The sequence below is a fragment of the Homo sapiens genome, chromosome 1 (genome assembly GCF_000001405.40).
Source record: "Homo sapiens chromosome 1, GRCh38.p14 Primary Assembly".
NCBI lineage: Eukaryota > Metazoa > Chordata > Mammalia > Primates > Hominidae > Homo > Homo sapiens.
Genome location: NC_000001.11, coordinates 149381632 through 149401080, shown reverse-complemented (window position 1 = coordinate 149401080; position 19449 = coordinate 149381632). Strand labels below are relative to the sequence as shown.

Sequence of the window (19449 nt, the reverse complement as noted above, 5' to 3'; positions counted from 1 at the left end):
AGCACTGCACTAGGGCAGTGAGAGGCTGGACGGAGGAATGGAAGAAACAGGTGGTGTCCATGGGTTGCCAAAACAACAGGTTGCTTCAGTCAGTTCTGTCCTACAACTAATCAATTTGGTGAGGAAAGGGGGAGAGAATCTTAGTCATCTTGTTCTCTGACCAAGCTAACTGACTAGACCCACTGTACTGGCATTTATCCATTAGGTCAAAGTGTCAGAATTAGCAGTGCATGGTAGACATAGCATTAGTCCTGCCTTTCAGGGATGTTAAATGCTTCAAAAATCTTGGCTATCTAGAAAAGGAGGACAGTAGCCGATTACGTCACCCACCCAAAATCATGTATTTGACTCCAGAACACACTGCTTTTCTCCAACATATTTTTTTATTAAGTATTAAAGTAAATGTCAATTTCCTAGACATATACAGCTGAAAGCATGCTGATTTACGATACAGTCAGATAAGAACTTTCAAGTAGCTACAGAAAATAGCAGTTAACAAATGAATTAACCAATATCATTAGAAACCAAAGGATTAAAAAAAATTAACCTATGAAATGAACAATTTTTATATCAACATTGGTAGCAATTTGATGTTATGTTATATACTGCTAATTATTTCCATACATATTGTGACATATTTAAGACAAAAGACTAACACCCTTAATATTTAAAGAGCTTTTTCAAACCAGTAAGAAAATAATTAAATGAGTAAAAGACACAATTTACCAAAAGAAGTAGAAAAAAAGGCAATACAAACGCCACTGATGATATGAAAAAACATTCAATATCACTGTAATGAGAGAGGCATATTAAGATTAAGTAATATTTACCACTTATCAAATGGTAAAGATTTTTAAAAATAAAACCTAGTGTTGACAATAGTATATTATGTGTGTGTGCATATATATATATGTAGATCTGTTCATAAACTAAAAAAAAAATATATATTATATATATATATATATATAAATAAATCAACAGCTTTTCTAAATCTAAGGGTAAAAAACCAAAGACGTATACCAAAAAATTAATGGCAGCATGATTGTGGACATTTTATTTACGCTTTTCTAGATTCTTCAAACATCCTTAACTACTTTTTCAAACATAATTACTTTTTATATTACAAAAATAAAAAAATCTTGTAAAGGTGCCAGAGAAAATCAGCAAAGTTTAAATATGAGTTAATTATCTGTAAACATAACGAATAATTCTGTTGCTACGTAAACCTACCTTAAACTGTTTCAATGTTTGTTTTTAGTTACAACTATTTTCCTTAACTCTCTTAGAAAGAATATGTCAGAGAAGCCACTACATATTACTTACTTTAAATAGTAACATAATGCCAAAGACTTGCATGAATCTCAGGATACGGTCTTTTACCTAAAATTCCTCATGAAGATTAGAATGCACTTTAAATGTTGTAATAAAGTAAATGCCCTTAATGTTTCTAACTAAAGAAGATCTAGCAAATAAATAAACCCATATTCACAGCAAATAAAAATATAATAAAATAATCGAAATACACATGTCCTCAAACTTCAATGTGTCTTGACAGCGTCTGAACCAAAGCATGTGTAAGGAGAGAATTAAACAAAAATGTCTTTGCTACTTACCACATTTACCATTTAGAGAAGTTAATATATCAGCACTATCTAGTTTTGTGATTATTCATACTTAGAAACTCAACAGAATAGATTAGTGAGTAAACAGTATTCAATTATTCTTATTTGAATGTTGGTTAGGTATACCAATAGAACAACCTCTCCCTGCTAGGTACCCGTTAAAATAGATTATTGAAAATATTTGAGGCTTAAAAACTTCCAGAATCTTCTCACAAAAAAAAAGATGAAAATAAAAAGAGATGAAAAAGAAGCAAACAACAATTTTAAAACATGCCTGCCTCAGAACAAGGCAGTTTATTTTAGAATGTAACCACAGCTTCTTGTACAACACCTTATTCATCAAGCACAACTGTATTTTAAAGGAATGCTATTTGTTAAAAAGACAACATATTTAGGATAAGGTATCTAACTCCAACCACAATATTATCATCATGTTTTCCTTACTTCACAAAATACACACATACATTCATCATATGAATAAACATATATAATAAGGGTGAGAGAGCTACTCTTAACCCAGAAACAGGTTCTGCAACACCCATAGATCCAACCTGTCGTTATGCAACAATGAGTCCATCTTGGCAAGATGTTTGGCTGATGTATTCAAATAACCCAGAGTTCTGCCAGCTGCCAGTATCCTGCAGAAGGAACTGACTCGGAGACCAGAAACTGCCCTAGGCAAGCCTCCAGGGAAAGGTGCTTCAGTCCAATGGAAAGAAAAACCCAGCCCCTCACTGCCTAGCCAGAGGACCCGGGGTACCATGGCTGGAGCGACGTAGCTGGCTGGAAATGCGAGAGGGGCAAGGGACACTAAGGTGAACCCCCAAGAGCTTGTTCAATCATACCTAATAAAGGCCAAACTATTGGGGAGCTAGTAGAACAGGGTTTTGCCAAGACAAGTACAAAAGGGTGAGGGAGATATTAGTATGATTAATCAATGCCACCTGAGGCAGCAACTCTGGGTGTGTCCACACCACACTTCAGTCACTGCCTGGCTGTGACGAGAAGTTCCTTCAGCCACTGCCACTGAGAACTGCATCTTCCAAGGAAGATATTTCCACCATAACTTGTCCTAGTTCAGGCTTGGCATTCGGGACTAAGAACACAGCACTCTCTCTTGCCGCAAACCCACTAACAGACATAATAGACACAACAACATGTGCCAAATTTATATTTACACCCTCACCAGACAAAGGGGTTTTTGTCTTTTCCCCAAGCCAAGTTCTAATACTTCTAAATTACAACAAAGAAAGAGGAAAATGGCAGACAGCTCACGACAGCAGACAAGCCCAGCAAGGGTGAGCTGGAGGTCGCCTTTCCCTGGTGGTATTAAGACCTGAAGTTTACTCCCAAGACCCTATAGATCCGAGTCACCCTGACTGCAGGAAACTGCTTTCAGAGAGCATAGATAAATGATAAAATAACTGTATTTCATATTCCTAATTGTGTGCTTATCTGTCTTGTCTCCATGATGATGTCAGCTCCTTGGGAGCAGGACCATATTTTCTACTTGGTCAATGATTCCCACACATCTAGAAGAGTAGAATACCCTGTACTTGCTACCACATGATGCCAAGGGAAGCACACAAATTAAGTGTGACAACACACCACAATGCTCCCCCAATACACCACTAAGACAGCAGAGCTACAAAGATAGCAAATGTTAGTGCCAAGGGCTAGTGATCCTACCAGTGAATTACATGGAAACCTATGTATTTACATACACAAATTAATACAATAATTCCTTTGCTTTTCTTATTCCAAGCTATGGCTTTATCATCCCCCTTTCTTGGCTTTACTCTCCTTTTTAAGACCACAATGTATGTTCTGCCATACAGATAATATTCTCCTCAAAAAAGAGAGACAGGAGAAAAAACAGATCTACGGCAAACCTCCTACCACTACCAGTGATGCAGTTTGTCCCGTCTCAAGCCTATGAGCATATCCTTTCAGATCTGAAGCCACTTCCTTCTTCCTATCAAGGACAGTATTATCAAGTGTCTTTGTGAGAGGAGCAATCCTGTGCCCCTTCTTGCAGATTGTTTTGTTCTGCTCAAGAAGCCCTAGATTCCTCCTTTATTTTCCTTTCCTTATTTCATTTGCTGCAGCAGCCCAGAAACCCCAAAAGCAGGACCACCAGAAATGAGTGACCTTTATATCTCTCCACACTAACACATCTGAGGGAAACTGCCGACACCAAATATGTGTTCATGAGCTAATGAAGCAGAAATCCTCAAAGGAAGCACCATTTGCAACGGCTGAGGACAGAATTCTTTAGTGGACACCAAAAAGGCTGTGGAACTCCTATGCATTCTAACATCTCAGGTAACATTCTAATGGAGGAATAAGGAGGCTTACAACAAAGTCATACAACACAAACAGAAGTCCGAAAATGCTGGATTTCGCAAATTTCTTTTAAGACAAAACAAACAACTTTACTAACCTTATACCATAGCAGCTTTCTTCTCTGTACTAAGTGAGGCCAGCAAGTAGGAGGCATTTCCAAGGGGGAAAAATGACCACAGGATCTAGCCAAAGCAACCTGTCTCTAATACTCTCAAAAAACAAACAAACAAAAACAAACACTTTGATTTCCCAGATTCACTCTGCAGTGATTCTAAAACTTTCCTAATGTAAGAATCACCTGGCTATTTCTTGAACACACAAATTCCCAGATGACATTCCAGATGCACTGAATCAGAATCTCCATGAGAACACCTGAGCTATTCTTATCATAAGAGAGGTTAGGGAAACACTGCTTGATAAATGTGATTCTCCCACCAGTGCCCACCTGTGCAGGGAGGTATGAAACAAGTAGGGCTAAGATGCTTTACCTGAGCAATCACCCCAGACATGCTCCTCACTGGGTTTGACTCCTTTTATGGAGAGCTGGGTGTCAGCCCAGTAAAGTCTACAGACAAGCATCTCTTTGGGTCCCTATCACCTGCACAGGTCTCAGGACTCTGAGACAAATTTCTGAGTAGATGTCAATGAGGACAAGTCATGAGGAGATGGATTACAGCTGAATATAAGAAGATCTTTCTAAGAATTAGAGCTGGCCAAAGATGGAATAAACTGCTGTGGAGAGCTGTCTACCACAAGAGATGTTCAAGAAGAGAGAAAATATGGTACCTCTTGACTAGAATGTTGTAAACATCAGATCCAGCATGGGATGGACAGAAAGACTAGATGAATTTTAAAGTTCCCGCCAATGCATAAGTCAACAAAGAGGAAAATTTCAGCCACTCCTTAATTAATTAAAAGAGATAGCAAAAAAAGTCTGTGGGTGGGGTCAGCTTTCAACTGATCCTATCTCTTCAAAGGAAAAAAGAACATAGAAACACACTCCAACTCACCATCAGCCTCTCCTATAGAATGTTCTAAAGGTGGGAAAGCAGGAGTCATAGATGCTGTGACTAAGACCTGCCGCTCAGTTGACTCTGAATTTCGGGCACATGCCAGACAAGTTCTGTAGTACAGAGAAGAAATGTGTGTAGCACAGACCTGGCCCTCAAGGATCAAAATCATGTGGCAGAGACAACTCAACACCATGTGATTCTCTCAAATATTTATTCATCATATTTCACCTTTAGTTTTTGTCAGCAGGGTGTTCAGGGGACTCTCTTGGTTCAAAAAAAAAAAAGCAAATATACTTTACTAAATGTACATATTCTCTCAATCCAGTACAAGTTTGCAATATCCAACTCAATGAAAAAAATCTCAAAAAAAATTATCAAAATAAATATAAACTTAGTTAACTCTAATTTTAAAAATAGTATTCCAAAAATGACTAGTCCCCAAAATGATGAAATTACAATAAGGTGTGGCTATTCTGGACAAAATAACAGAAATTGCTGGCCTAGTAATACAGTAATACAGGAAGCAGTGGAAGCAAACTTGAGTGAGAGGCAGGGGGTGGGTGGCAGTGCCTTTGAAGTGAGATTCCAAAGTCAAAGTGACCTTTATAAATTGCAGAAGTGATCAGAAAAAGAAAGAAAGAAACCCCACACACAAAGAAATTCAAAATTACAAGTTTAAATGAAACATCTGGGGAAGGGAAAAATTTGGTTTTTCCCCAAATGTAAGGTAAGCATGACTCCTGCAAATACTATTTTTAAAATGTCTAGGAGTACCACAGTTGTCCAAAATAAGAAAGTGGCTAAAAATAATTGTTCGACTGAACAAGTATTTATTGTGTGCCTATTAGATACCAAGGCATCATGCCAGGTACAGGGGTAGGGTATGGGCATTAGAATAAACACATAAATGAAAATACACGATTCCTTCCTCATGTACGCATTAACAATAAGCACTTGAGGATGTTATAAGAGTTTTTGTGCACATAAGCGCATTTGTACATGAGATGGAAGCAATGTGGACAGTGAATGAGGCACTGGACACCAGAAGAAAGGAATTCTAGTCTCAACTCTAATTGGCTCTGTGACCATGAACAATGAACATCAGAAAATGGAGGACCAAAACAGTGGCTCTCCTACAAGGTCACCAAACCAATTAATAACAGACCTGGAGAAGAATTCTGGTCTTCTGGCTCCTAGTTCAGTGATCTGTCCAAAATACTACACATATGGTAGGCTGACAAAGAAAGAAAAGAAGACCTTTTGGTTTCAAGTCATTTGCAGAGAAAGGGTGGGAAACAAAAACAGGAAAATCAGGAAAGGGTGGAAGGAAAATTAATAGTTCAAATTTAGGCATTCGAACTGAGACATCAAGAAAGGAAGCATGTAACTATGGACTGTGAACACAATATAAAGAAAATGATGTAAAATTTCTTATATCCTTATTCAAATCACGCCTTGCAGTTTTTTACTCTAAAATCATTGCAGACGTATATAGATAAAGGGTCAAAAAACAACATGTATGAATGACATTTAAGGAAAACGAGATAACAGAAGAAAAGGGAAAAGGAGAGGTGGAGAATTTATTATATCATCTAAATATATGAAGCCCTTCTAAAGGGTCAATGCAGACATACTGCACCCAGATAAACAGAAGAAATGACATTATATTCTATATCTCTTACGTCAGCAATTTTAAAATTCTTGAGTCAGAAGTGTTAAACACTGGAATGACTAAGGTTACATTTGTTATGGAAATTTCTTAAATTTAGAAAGACCTCATACACACACCTGAAGGTAAAAAAAAATGTACTTAATCAGTGGGTTGCAACCAAGTTACTTGTCAGAATCACCTGTAAACCTTGAAAAAATATGGATTCTCAAACTTACCTTATCAGAATCCCTGGGTGCTGAGTCCAAGATCCACCCCAACAGATTTTGATGTAGCCAGGACACAGAGTTTTTTTCTACCATAATGGGAGAGGTAGGGAGGAGGATCACTAGGAATGGCAACACAGAGTGGGAACTAGATCAATGCAAATTTTGTGGGCAAAATAGAATTTCTGTGGGTGTGATATTTTTAAAATGTATTGTAAGGCTGCTCTGAACCATCCAAGCATATCCCACTGAATTTAAACATTCTCTAAAGGTCCTGAAGTCAGCAACTACAATCCAGGTGAACCAAAAGTTGCTTCTCTATGTCATAGAAGCCTACAGGAGAGGCAGTAGGGTGGGAATGGAGCAGAGAGATCCCAAGAAGTTATGGGTAAATATTTTTTAAATCTAAACATTCAGAAAAATAAGAGAGACTAGGAATCACTCTCCTCCTCCTCTCCACCACACCAAAAAAAAAAGGAATAATAAGAAAGTGAAAGGAAAAATAGTTTTAGGTTAAATTTCATCACCATCTGAAAGAAAATTACTCCGATTTTGTTTAAGAGAAGAATTCAGCTGAGAAATTATCTAGCAGGCAGCAAAATCAGGGAGTCACTTCCCATTGCAAAGCAAAAGAAAACAAGGAGCAAGAGGATGGTCCTGGATAGCTGTTTAGACAATCAGACATACTGCTAACATCTCCTTGCCTTAGAAACTCCGTGATGTTTAAATTAACAATTGGCCACAAGCCAAACACAGGAGCACTCAAAAGTTTAGAAGGGTGTGCTGTAATTGGTACCTTAGCAAAACACAATAATAAATTAAGAGGATTCAAGAAGCCTTCACTGTAGACTCTAAGAAGATTTAAGATTTGTACCAAGAAACAGGCTTCTAAATCTCTTCTACTGCATTAGTTTAGCATCTAAAGAACACCTGTCTAAAAATCAAAATATCTAAATCCTATCCTTTGAGTCAACTTGACTAACACTCAACTTGACTACCTAAAAGCTAGCTAATAATCGCAGCACCTCAGCAGAGCAGAGGTGGAGGGCATAGTTTTATGCACTGAGATCCTATAATAAAAGAAGCCCTATGTGTCAGAGTAATCCCATTTCTGACATATTATTTAATACTTTTTTTTTTTTTTTTTTTTTTTTTGAGACGGAGTCTCGCTCTGTCGCCCAGGCTGGAGTGCAGTGGCGGGATCTCGGCTCACTGCAAGCTCCGCCTCCCGGGTTCACGCCATTCTCCGCCTTAGCCTCCCAAGTAGCTGGGACTACAGGCGCCCGCCACTACGCCCGGCTAATTTTTTGTATTTTTAGTAGAGACGGGGTTTCACCGTTTTAGCCGGGATGGTCTCGATCTCCTGACCTCGTGATCCGCCCGCCTCGGCCTCCCAAAGTGCTGGGATTACAGGCGTGAGCCACCGCGCCCGGCCAATACTTAATTTTTCAAATCACTTTACAATCATATTTATTATTCCCTACAATTCTCTAAAGCAGGTTATTCCTTTAGTCCTGCTTCATAGGTGAAGAGACTACATATCATGAAGATTAAGTTATTTACCAAAACAAGTTAATGATAGACCAAGGATTATTACCCTCAGACTGTCTCATTGATTATACTCCTCTCTATCCTAAAGCTACACTTAAAGCTTTCATTCAAAGAAAAAGGAAAAGCAAAAACACCATCATATATGCTCTTTATTAAATGCTTCAGAAACAACAGCTCTGCTTCATCACTACAAAGCCTCCTGGTCCACTTCTGAAATTCTTAGTGACCTAGACGTGTACGAAATTTGAACTTTCCAAGAAGTATCTAGTTGGTGCTGAACAACCCAGTACTATTTTCGGGTGATAAATAACCTTGTTCTCTTTTTAAACATCTGCGATTGACATGTCGACTGACTGTTAACAATGAACAAAGACCATATTTTTCTGAAGCTCATCATCTTCCTAACCTTTTCTTTGAAAACAGATGTAGTTCATGTACTAGTTTTTTGGTGAAGGTAAAAATCTTTATTCAGATTAGGCTCAGAAAAAGAAGGGGCTGCTTTCCGTTCAACAAATATGCACAAGACACCATCCCACTGGGAGCATCAATCTCAGAAGCAGTAAAACACAGCCTCGGCCCTCAAAGGACTTTCTGAACACCTTTGGAGTGTCATCCGTTTAATATACATTATTTTAATTAATCCTATTAGCTGGATAATTTCATTCCCATTTTATTGGTGAGTTCATATAGCAGAGCTGGATTTGAATCCAGGATTACAGAGCAGGGCTCCAAAGCCCAAGTTATTTCCACTAAAGGGTCTGAAGAAATGTAGAATCTAAAAGTGTGGGTGGGATGGGGAAGATATGATTTGATTCCCTTTCCTTGGTCCAACCGTGTTAGAAACATCCAACCATAAAGAAGCTTTCTAAGGAAGCCCTTTGAATTGACGTATCCACTTTTTCTCACCCGCCCGTGCCCCACCCCCAGCCATGCCAAAGGAGCAGCAAATGCTGCTGCCAGGTTGGAGGAATTGGTGATCGTCACACCACATTCCTGGGTCTGGACACAGCCTGAAACAGCAGCAGAGCTCCGCGCCTCGGAAAGAATAACAGCAGTTGAGATTTTTAAATCATGTGCCTCAGCATGCAGCCACACCAGTTGCCCTACTTCTCCTGCCTCCACCTTTCAAAGACGCGAGCAGCACACCCGGCTCCTCCGGACTTTCGGTGGGGTTGGAGTGTCAAAACTCAGGCGCGCCGCAAAACCCCGTCCCCATCCAAACCAAGCCCACACACCCGGCCCATGTGCCGCCCCCTGGCAAAGGCGAGGCTGGCTGCGAAGGTGCAGGCCGTTTGGCTTGGCGGCCCTGCCCCCGCTCTCCACGCCAGAATCTGGCACGCCTTCGCTCAGCCCCTCCGAGGCCCGCCGTCGGCTCTCGCTCGACCCCAAGAAACGCGGAACCTGAAGGGCAAAACTGCCCACCTCCCTGCACCCTGGCACTACGAAAAAGGAGTTTCTGAGACTTGCTGCCGGCCTCCCTCCTGCCGAGGAGGCGTGTGAGGGGTCCCGGGCCGCGGGGAGCAGAGGCGGCGGGGAACCCCGGCGGTTGGCGGGGAACCCCGGCGGTTGGCGGGGCACCACGGGAGGGGCCCCCGGCGATGTCCAAACTCTCGGGAACCCAGCGAGTGGCCTCGCTCCGCGCCGGCGGCCGAGCCTGGCCTTCCCACACAGAGAAGGACCGAGGGGGAGAAGGGTCGCCCCAGGTGGCAGCCCCGGGCGCCGCGGACAGCGCCCCTCAGCCCGATACTCACCATGCGCGGGGGTCGCGCAGCACAGCCAGAGCGCCAGCAGCGCCCACAGCAGAGCGGCGCAGGGCGGGCATCTTCTCGGTCGCCGCCTCCTCCGCCGCCGCCGCCGCCGCCGCCGCCGCCTGGGCAGATCCACATGGGGAGGGGGTCCCGATAGAGGAGCCCCACTCTCTCCTCCCCTCCTCCTGCTTCAAAGGCTCAGGCCCTGGCGCTACGGTCCGAAGCACAGGCGCAAATGCCTCGACTCCCCGCGCCCCGAGTCCGCCGCTCCTCGGCCGCCGCCTCAGCCGCCGCCCGAAGTTTGGCTGAAACTTTCTCGGGTGTGCAGCGAAGCAGCCTCGTGTGTCCTTCCGCCTCAGCCGCCTCCTCCCACCGCAAGCCCCGCCCCACTGTCGCCGCGGCCTCGGCCCCGCCGCCTTGGGCACCCAGGGGTTTCCCGCAGGAAGAAGCGCCGGCCCGAGCTCCGCGCGGAGGGATCTACTACGAGTCACTGGCCCCGTCCGCATCCTTCTCCAGCAGCCTTAACTCGATCAGGGCTGCAGCGGCTCGCTGGCTTGACCAGTGCAGAAGGGGCGTGGAGGTGAGGGGGGTGGGGTAGGACTCTGAACTTCAAGCACTGGAGTTTGCCGGGATCGTGAACTTGCAGGGAGAGGCGGTCCTCATCCAGTGAGGTCTGTATCGCCACCTACACCCACACATCCACACACTGCTTTGCTAGCTAGAGGAATGCTCTGGAGTAGGACCAGTGCTGTCAAAGAAGGAAAGTGGGCCAAGGCGCCAAAGTCCATTAAAAAGGAATAGAGCCATCACGGAGTGGTGCTGCCCCATTCATTCATTCATTTGTTCATCCGTGTAGCGAATATTTCTTAAGTGCCTTACTTTGCGTAGCTGTGTGCTTGGCAGTGGGATGATACCAAAGATGCACAAGCAACTTTGAGTACCAAGACTTTGCCGCTGTGGGCTGGGGGATTCAGGGAAGGCTTTCCCAGAGGAGCTGGGATGAAAGCAGGATCTTGAAAGGTCAGTAAAATTTGTATAAGACAAGGAGACCAGCTAAGCTAAGGATATTCGTTGTAACACTGTAATAGCAAAACCTTGAAAACAACATAAATGCCCACCCTTAGAGGAATGGATGAATAATGTATGGTATATTTATAAAATGAAATGCAACACAGTAATTGAAAAGACTATAGCTATTTATGTCAATAGGGATAAATCTTAAAAACTAAATGATAGTGAAAATAATCGCAGAGGGAGACAAAGTATACCATTTATGTATATTTTTTTCAAGACAATACTACACATTATCTGTGGATGCATATATATAGATATAGATATAGATATTAAGAGACTATAACCAGAATAGTAGTTACTTCCAGGGCAGGAGAGTAGGGGGTGTGATCAAACCTGGGTACAAGTGGGCTAAGAAAAGAGCTAAAAGTAAGAACAACAACAATAGTTGTATGGACATATCATTCCAGGAAAGAGCCCTCGTGAAAGCAAAGGTACAGTCAAAAGAGTAAGTAAATGAGTTCTGTCTCTGTTAGCAGTGAGAGGAGTCAAGGACGGAAAGGGGGTTGGGACCAAATTATGCAGCCTTGAATGGCAAGCTGAAAGGGTGGGGAGGCAGCTACCTCTTAGGTCACATAAAACTATTGAAAGTTTTTGAACAGAGTTGAGATTGATGGAAAGGAAGATTGCTCTGATAGTTCTGTAGAAAATTGATTGTTGGGAGCAAGAGGTGAACTGGAGCCCCAGGACCAGTCAAGAGTTGGTGAACAGTCCAGGCACAAATTTAAGAAGACCTGAACTAATAAGGTAGATTTCAGAAGGAATGAATCTGAGACAATGTTAAAGAAACAGAAAAAAAAATGGAGGTGTGACTAATTGGATGTGGGAGTTTACAATCCTGTTGGGATGGGAAATCCTACCCATAGAACCTCTCCCTGACTCCTATAGGATAAAATTCAAACTTCTAAACATGGTACATACAAGGCCTTTTCGTCATTGGGCCCCATCTCCTGTCCTCCCTGCCCCTGTTGTGAACTTCACACAATAACAGTATTGGCTAACTTGAGATTCCCCCAAACATATCTTGCTGTTTCTGTCCCTGTATCTTTTGTTCCTTTGGCTTGGAATGACTCCTGTAGTCCCCTTCCCTCCTCCTCTTAATGAACTTCTAATCATAATTCATCCTTCAGTCCAAAGAAGGCTTTGCCGACACCACAATAAATTCCTCCCTCTAACAGACAGTCCCTCCACTGTCTTCCACTGCCGCTTCTTTATCTTAACACCAATACTTATTTTTCACACAGGACTCTTTGTATTTCTGTGTTCTCAACTAAGTTTTGAGGTCCTCATGGGCAAAGACCACAGCCTATTAATCCCCAGTGTCTATCACATAATAGATGTTGAACTAGAATGTAAAACAACACTAAGCAAGTACAAGTCAGTATGGGCATAGACCTATGAAATTCCAAAACTGCATGTTAACAAGCACTTTAGGTAAGCAAGTATCATTAGTGAAAGTAGTCACATTGAAATACTGGAAACCCTTTTCAAAAATAACGTAGTCAAAATATTTTTGGAATTTGTCTTGTGCAAGTATGTTCAGAGAAAGATAACATTATTTTTCAGTTGTTTACCCACAGTGTTACCAGTTCGATCTTCCTCTTTACTCACTAAAGATAATTCATAGTGACTTGGCTGCATACAAATTTTAAAAATCACCTGCAAAGATAAGTTTTGTCACTATTAAAATATATTCAGAAGAATATAAGATAGTTATCCCCAAAGAGCAACTCTAGAAGCGACTGTAGCTATGACAACATTATTAAAATAAATGTGCAGGCCAGGCGTGGCGGCTTATGTCATAATCCCAGCACTTTGGGAAGCTGAGGTGGGCAGATCACCTGAGGTCAGGAGGTCGAGACCAGCCTGGCCAACATGTTGAAAACCCGTCTCTACTAAAAATACCAAAAATTAGCCGGGCATGGTGGCGAGCACCTGTAATCCCAGCTACTCAGGAGACTGAGGCAGTAGAATCACTTGAACCCAGGAGGCAGAGATTGCAGTGAGCCAAGATCGTGCCACTGTACTCCAGCCTGGACAACAAGAGTGAAACTCCGTCTCAAAAAAAAAAAAAAAAGAAAATAGGTATGCAGTTTCTCAAAGTAACCGTTTTAAAGAAAGCAGCTATTATGTTCACATATAACTTTTGTTGAATGTGTTACAATATGAAAACTTACTGCATACATTCTGGTAAGGACAAGAGAAGTAAAGAGTAAATATGAATGGAAGTAAGGGAAAAATATGACTGAAGACATTTTTTAAAGATAAGTTTTAATGATAGAAAAATATGAATAAGGGCTACCAATTGTTTTAGTTTTAATCAAAACTAAAAATATACATCTATGTCTTTACTGATTTAAACTCACATAAAACTGCCTTCCAAAATAAATGCAGAATTGGGCACTTATTTGTTCTCATGTCTGTCCTCTCAGAGCCAATAAGCTGTAAAAAACTCTCAAAATAAAACTCTGTTTTATTTTCTGTTTTGCCCCGGTTTCTATCACATAAGTGCTCAATAATATATGCTTTACATAAATGCTGAATGAGGAACATATATATCTATATAAACTGGGGAGCAATGCAAGACTGGAAGAATGTCTTGATGTGTTGGAGAAGTTGAAGAAGAGATTGTGGGATAGCTATGACACATAGATTGAGCTACACCACGAATCTCTCCATGTAACCCAGGAACCCAAGGATATGTGATGAGATGTTTGTGGAAGCAGGAATTAAAAGGAAGATTTCTTTTAATAATGCCTTGCAGTTGCGCAGTGATTTAGACCTTCCAAAAACACTTTTAATTATATTATCTCATTTGATCCTCAAAACAATCGTGGGAAATAGGCACCCCAGTCATTATTATCCCCATTTTGCAGATGAAGAAACTGAGATAGAGCTTTAAGTATCTTGCCCAAGGTTAAATAAGTAATTAGTGAGCTGAGACAAACCCCCCACTATTTCTGTCCTCTTACTCAGTCTCACTCCACTGTACCTTTGTGCAACAATGTGAAGCACATCCAAGATGATATTTAGTGTGGGGACCTCTGCGTAGAGGGACACCAGTTTCTTGTCACTTCCATATTAGCACAGAACAAGCTGACCCACTGTAACTAGGAAACATAAGTGAATACATTCTTTTAATTTAAAATTTTTTTGAGAGCCTGTTCTCTACAAAGCACATACTAGGCTCTGCGGCAATGCAGAAATAAATAAAACCTAGTCCCTGTTCTTTGGAGATCACAGAGCAGTGAGGCAGGCCAACATACAAATAACATAACTACAACAGAGATAAAGCACAGGGATATGGGAAAGTAGAGAGCACTGGGATTAATTTTGAGTCCACTTTCCTCTCATCCAGTCCCCAGCCTGAAAGATATGAACTGTGGTGGCCCACACAGCGGGACTGTAAACCATGTGACAAGAGTCATTTCTTACCCCTTATTCATGTTTGTAAACTCCACAGTAGTTGGTTCTTTGCCTTGCATAGAGTATGTGCTCAATAAAGACCTACTTTCTGAAAGGTTCACAGAGTTCAGCCCAACACAGGACAAGTTCTAGAAGGCAAGAAGTTAACCTCAAGATTCAAAGTAGCTCTGAGAATTAAGAACCAGCCAGACCCTTCCACTGAGCCTAGACCCAATTAATTACCTCTGCTCTAATTAAGGGAATCAGTAATGTAAGTAATTGTAATATGGGCGATATAGTTTGCCTGTGTCCCCACCCAATATCTTATTTTGAATTGTAATCCCCATGTGTCAAGGGAGAGACCAGGTGGAGGTAATTGAATCATGGGGGCGGTTTCTCCCATGCTGTTCTCCTGATAATGAGCGAGTTCACGAGATCTGATGGTTTTATGTGTTTGGTAGTTCCTCCTGCATTAATTTTCCTTCATGCTGCCTTATGAAGAAGGTACCTTGCTTCCCCCTTTGCCTTCTGCCATGATTGTTAAGTTTCCTGAGGCCTTCCCAGCCATGCTAAACTGTGAGTCAGTTAACCTGTTTCCTTTATAAATTACCCAGTCTTGGGCAGTTCTTTACAGCACTGTGAAGACAGACTAATACAGTGGGCTTGTTGACATAGTTTTGCCCTTTTATGAATGTGATTATCTCAATTTTATTATGTTAAGGAAGGACACAGTGGCCCACACCTGTAATCCCAACACTTTGGGAGTCCAAGGCAGAAGGATGGCTTGAGCCCAGGAGTTCAAGACCAGGCTGGGCCACAAAGTGAGACCCTGTCTCTACAAAAAATTAAAAAACTAACTGGGCATGGTGATGCATGTCTCTAGTCCCAGCTACTCGGGAGGCTGAGGTGGGAGGACCACTTGATCCCAGGAGGTTGAGGCTGCAGTGAACCATGTTACCACTGCTGCATTTCAGCTCGGGTGACAGAGCAAGACCCTGTCAAAAAAAAAAAAAAAAAAAAACTTACCTAGAAATTTCAAATCTTCTGCTATGCTTGAGATATGCAGGAAAATTCATATAGGAATGCTCACTGTATCACTCCCTTAAAATCTTCTTTTAAGCATTTTATGCTAGGAGGTATTACACTTCAATTCCTAAGTAGGTGTGTACTTTTTGTATATAATGATGTATGAAAGGGTTGACCTGTATGCACCAAGATGTCTCCCCAATTTAACAGTATCATAAATTCACAACTGTGTAATTATCAAACCACAGTATTATTGGATGAGTCTCAGTGCTTTAGTCACTAAAATGGTTATGCAATTTTGAATATTTATTGACGTTGTTCTCAGGGACTGTTGAATTGTTTTTACTCACATTCTTATATTCTTCCTTCATGATTAGCCAAGACATTCTTGACAGCAAGATTCAGGCATACAGAAAGTTTCTACTTCAAAATATGGAAAATCTTCTTACCATCTAGGTGCAGATCATATCTAAGTCCCCCAAAGAAAAAGAAAATGGAAACTTTTCTTACTAAGTGGAATTCAAAATGGTTAACTAAGTATGAGAGAGGGGACATCAAAAGTAAGGAAGAGAAATCCCATTATAAAAAGTGTGCACAGGCCAGGCGCAATGACTCACACCTGTAATCCCAGCACTTTGGGAGGCCAAGACGGGAGGATCGCTTGAGGCTAGGAGTTCAAGACCAGCCTGGGCAACATGTTGAAACCCTAACTCTACAAAAAATACAAAAATTAGCTGGGCATGGTGGTGCACGCCTATGGTCCCAGCCATTCAGGAGTCTGAGGTGGAAGAATCACCTGTGCCTGAGAAGTCAAGACTGCAGTAAGCCGTGATCACACCACTCCACCACTCCAGTCTGGGTGACAAAGTGAGACCCTGTCTCCAAAAAAAAAAAAAAAAAAAAAAAAGCATTAAAAATCTCCTTCTAAGTAAGTAATTCATTGGGAGATAATTAATGGCTGGAAACAGGTATTTATAATGGAAGCATACATGGCCTTAATGATAGGGTTTGCTTCTGAAAACACTCTAATTAAAAAGGGGAAGAGTAATTTTATAGGAAAGTACAAATCAGTGGTGTATATGTCTACCAGTGTGTGCAAAGAGACAGAGGTGGTAATTGCTGGACTCAGACCAGGTATCAGCAACAACTAAACATAATGACCTTATAAATATGCAGATAGGATTTCTGACAAAGCTAAAAGTACATCATTATTATTATTCATCAATGTGGAATGGAATGTGAAATTGGAATCAGCAGGTGAGGGGTGGTTGTACCTGAATATCCTGGATACCAACTTGTTTTTGTTTTTAATCATTCTAATCTCTGTTAAGAATAATGTCACATGACTACTTTATCCTCTTTCTCAGACCACTGATCCAACCATTTTTCTTTCACACTTTTGCCTCCTTTCCTCTTATAACAGGTACTAACAGTCTAAGCAGAAAAAGAAGAACAGATGGTGGTAAGACCTAGAATGTTTACCCCATTAAGATCTATATCTGAATCCAGAAGGAACACCTCATTGCTGAGAAGAGCCCTGCAGACAGTTCACACCTCTGTTTCTTTTGCAAGATATAGCTACCTCAAAAAATCCTTTCTTGATCAAACTCTTATGGCCTGGAATCCTTGCGTTTCTGCTGATGACTGTCATTTTAGAGTACTTACTAAAGACAATGGTTGGGGAAATAGATATTTTAAAAATAAGGGAAGAAGTGGGTAGGGTAAACCCAGGCTTACTTATGTAAACTCTGAGTGCTGAAGTTAGAAGACAACCTTTAAGATTAAAAAAAAAAAAAAAAAAAAAAAAACGGCAAAGTTAGAACACACAAAAGATAGTATAGTTCCTTACCCATCCACCACTTGGTTTTGAGGAGAAAAGGGAAGTAAGAAGAGTTGAAGAGAAGAAAAACAGAACAGAAGAGTGGGAAAGGAAGATGAAAGGGTGCTCTGGAGTACTATGCACCTGTTTAGAAGTGGGGAAGTAGCACAAACACTAGCAAAAGAAGAACCACCATGGAGTTCCTCCTTGCACATCTCTCTCCCCTCCTGAAGGCCTATGGTGAGCCCACAGCATTGTTCCAGCAGTGAGGGAGTCTTCACTGCCCCGAGACTCTCTCATGGCTCTTAAGATACCTCCCTGAAGTCCCTCCAAAGAATTCAATGTGCCCCTAGTCTAAATCACTTTCCTCCATCATAAATACTCATAGATGACGCAACAATAAAGCGTTAATAACGATAATGGCAATTTTGTGTGTCAAACATTGTATTAAGCACTTTACCTGCTTTATTGTTTGTAATGCTTCAACAGCTTATGAGAAGGTATTATTATTTCTACTTCACAGTGCAGAAAATGAAACCTGAGTAAGTTGTCTTAGATCACACAGCTGCTAAGCAGTGGCACAGGGATTTAAGCCCAGGTCCATCTGATCAACTCCGATGGCACATAATTGACCTCTGCATTGTCCCGCCTGCCCACAGGTCACTGCCTCAGTGATCCAGTCCCATCCGTTGTTTAGATAACTGAATAAGTTATCCTCGAATCATTTATTGTAAGCCTAGTCTCTCAAGTTTACTGTGAGTCAAGGGCTAGGTCATATACCTCTTTTGTGCTCTTCTATATCGTGGCATCCAACCTCTTGCTTGTCAGCTTCCAACTCTGGATCAACTTAAGGACTTCTTTTCCTGGCATCTGCCCCTTATATGGGAGGTGTTCTTACAATTCTACTGATTGTTTTCACCTTACAACTTTTTATTTTGAAATACTCTCTTCTAAGTGTTCCTAGTAAATTTTTTAAAGCCAGCAAGGAAAAAAAATTCTATTTATTGCCAACTAATTATAAACATTAAAACATCAATTTAAAATGTAAAGGAAAAATGACCTATAATACCACCACTAATAGCATTTTCATGTGTTTTATTCATTTGTTCTTCATATGTATGTTCTTACAGAGTTGTAATCAAGACATACATATAGTTTTGTTTTGTTTTTTTTTTTAAGATGGAGTCTTGCTCTGTCGCCCAGGCTGGAGTGCAGTGGTGCGATCTCGGCTCACTGCAACCCCCGCCTCCCAGGTTCAAGTGACTCTCCTGCCTCAGCCTCCCTAGTAGCTGGGATTACAGGTGCACGTGACTATGCCTGGCTAATTTTTGTATTTTTAGTAGAGACAGGGTTTCACCATGTTGACCAGGCTGGTCTCGAACTCCTGACCTTAGGTGATCCACCTGCCTTGGCCTCCCAAAGTGCTGGGATTACAGGCGTGAGCCACCATACCTGGCCGACATACATATAGTTTTTATCCAGATTTCTTAGGCAATTCATATACCATAAATATTTTCCTTTGTTGTACATAGTTGCCATACATAGCATTGTTATTGTCTGCAAAATATTCCAGCCTTAATTAATATATAGAGCTAGAATACTTTCTATATTAGTATTGGGATCTGTATCCAGAAGTTGCCCATCTTATTTCAAAGACAGCCTTTGGGGACAATCCCTCCATACTTCTTTTATTGCCAATCACAATTGGATGAATAAGTGGACTCTTTCTTTGTCTTGAATCAGGGAGATGGATCAGCCCAAAAGAATCCCCTGCTGTTGTTCTCCAATCCCCTCCCTAGCATTTACAAGTCTTCACCTCTCTGCTGTAGCCTCTTTCCTTCTTTCTGTTCCCCATTTTCTTCCCAGCAAAAGGCTTCACTTCCTACTTCACTAAAGACATCTCCTAGTTCAAATATCACCTCCCCTGCAAAACCTTCCCTAGCCCTCACCATTTCTACACTGACAGGCCATCT

At 41.3% G+C, this 19449-nt stretch overlaps 1 protein-coding gene and 1 long non-coding RNA gene across 4 annotated transcripts in view; one reads left to right on the top strand and one right to left on the bottom strand.

Annotated features, from left to right (window-relative positions):
- NOTCH2NLC (notch 2 N-terminal like C) overlaps positions 1-10460 on the bottom strand; it is an 81213-nt gene extending 70753 nt beyond the window's left edge. For both annotated transcript variants that reach the window (NM_001364012.2, NM_001364013.2), the window contains exon 1: positions 10159-10460. Coding sequence is in view for 1 of the 2 variants with exons in the window: in NM_001364013.2 (NP_001350942.1) it covers positions 10159-10293 (135 nt within the window). In the remaining variant the exon portion in view is untranslated. The remainder of the gene's footprint in view (positions 1-10158) is intronic.
- Positions 10461-10659: 199 nt separating this feature from the next.
- LOC105371403 (uncharacterized) lies at positions 10660-17902 on the top strand. Of its 2 annotated transcripts, none has more exons than XR_922106.2 (2): positions 10660-11175; positions 17081-17902. It is a non-coding gene; the product is annotated as an uncharacterized LOC105371403 (long non-coding RNA). The 2 variants fall into 2 exon arrangements; XR_007066564.1 differs by having other exon boundaries at positions 10660-14902.
- The last annotated feature ends 1547 nt before the right edge of the window (positions 17903-19449 follow it).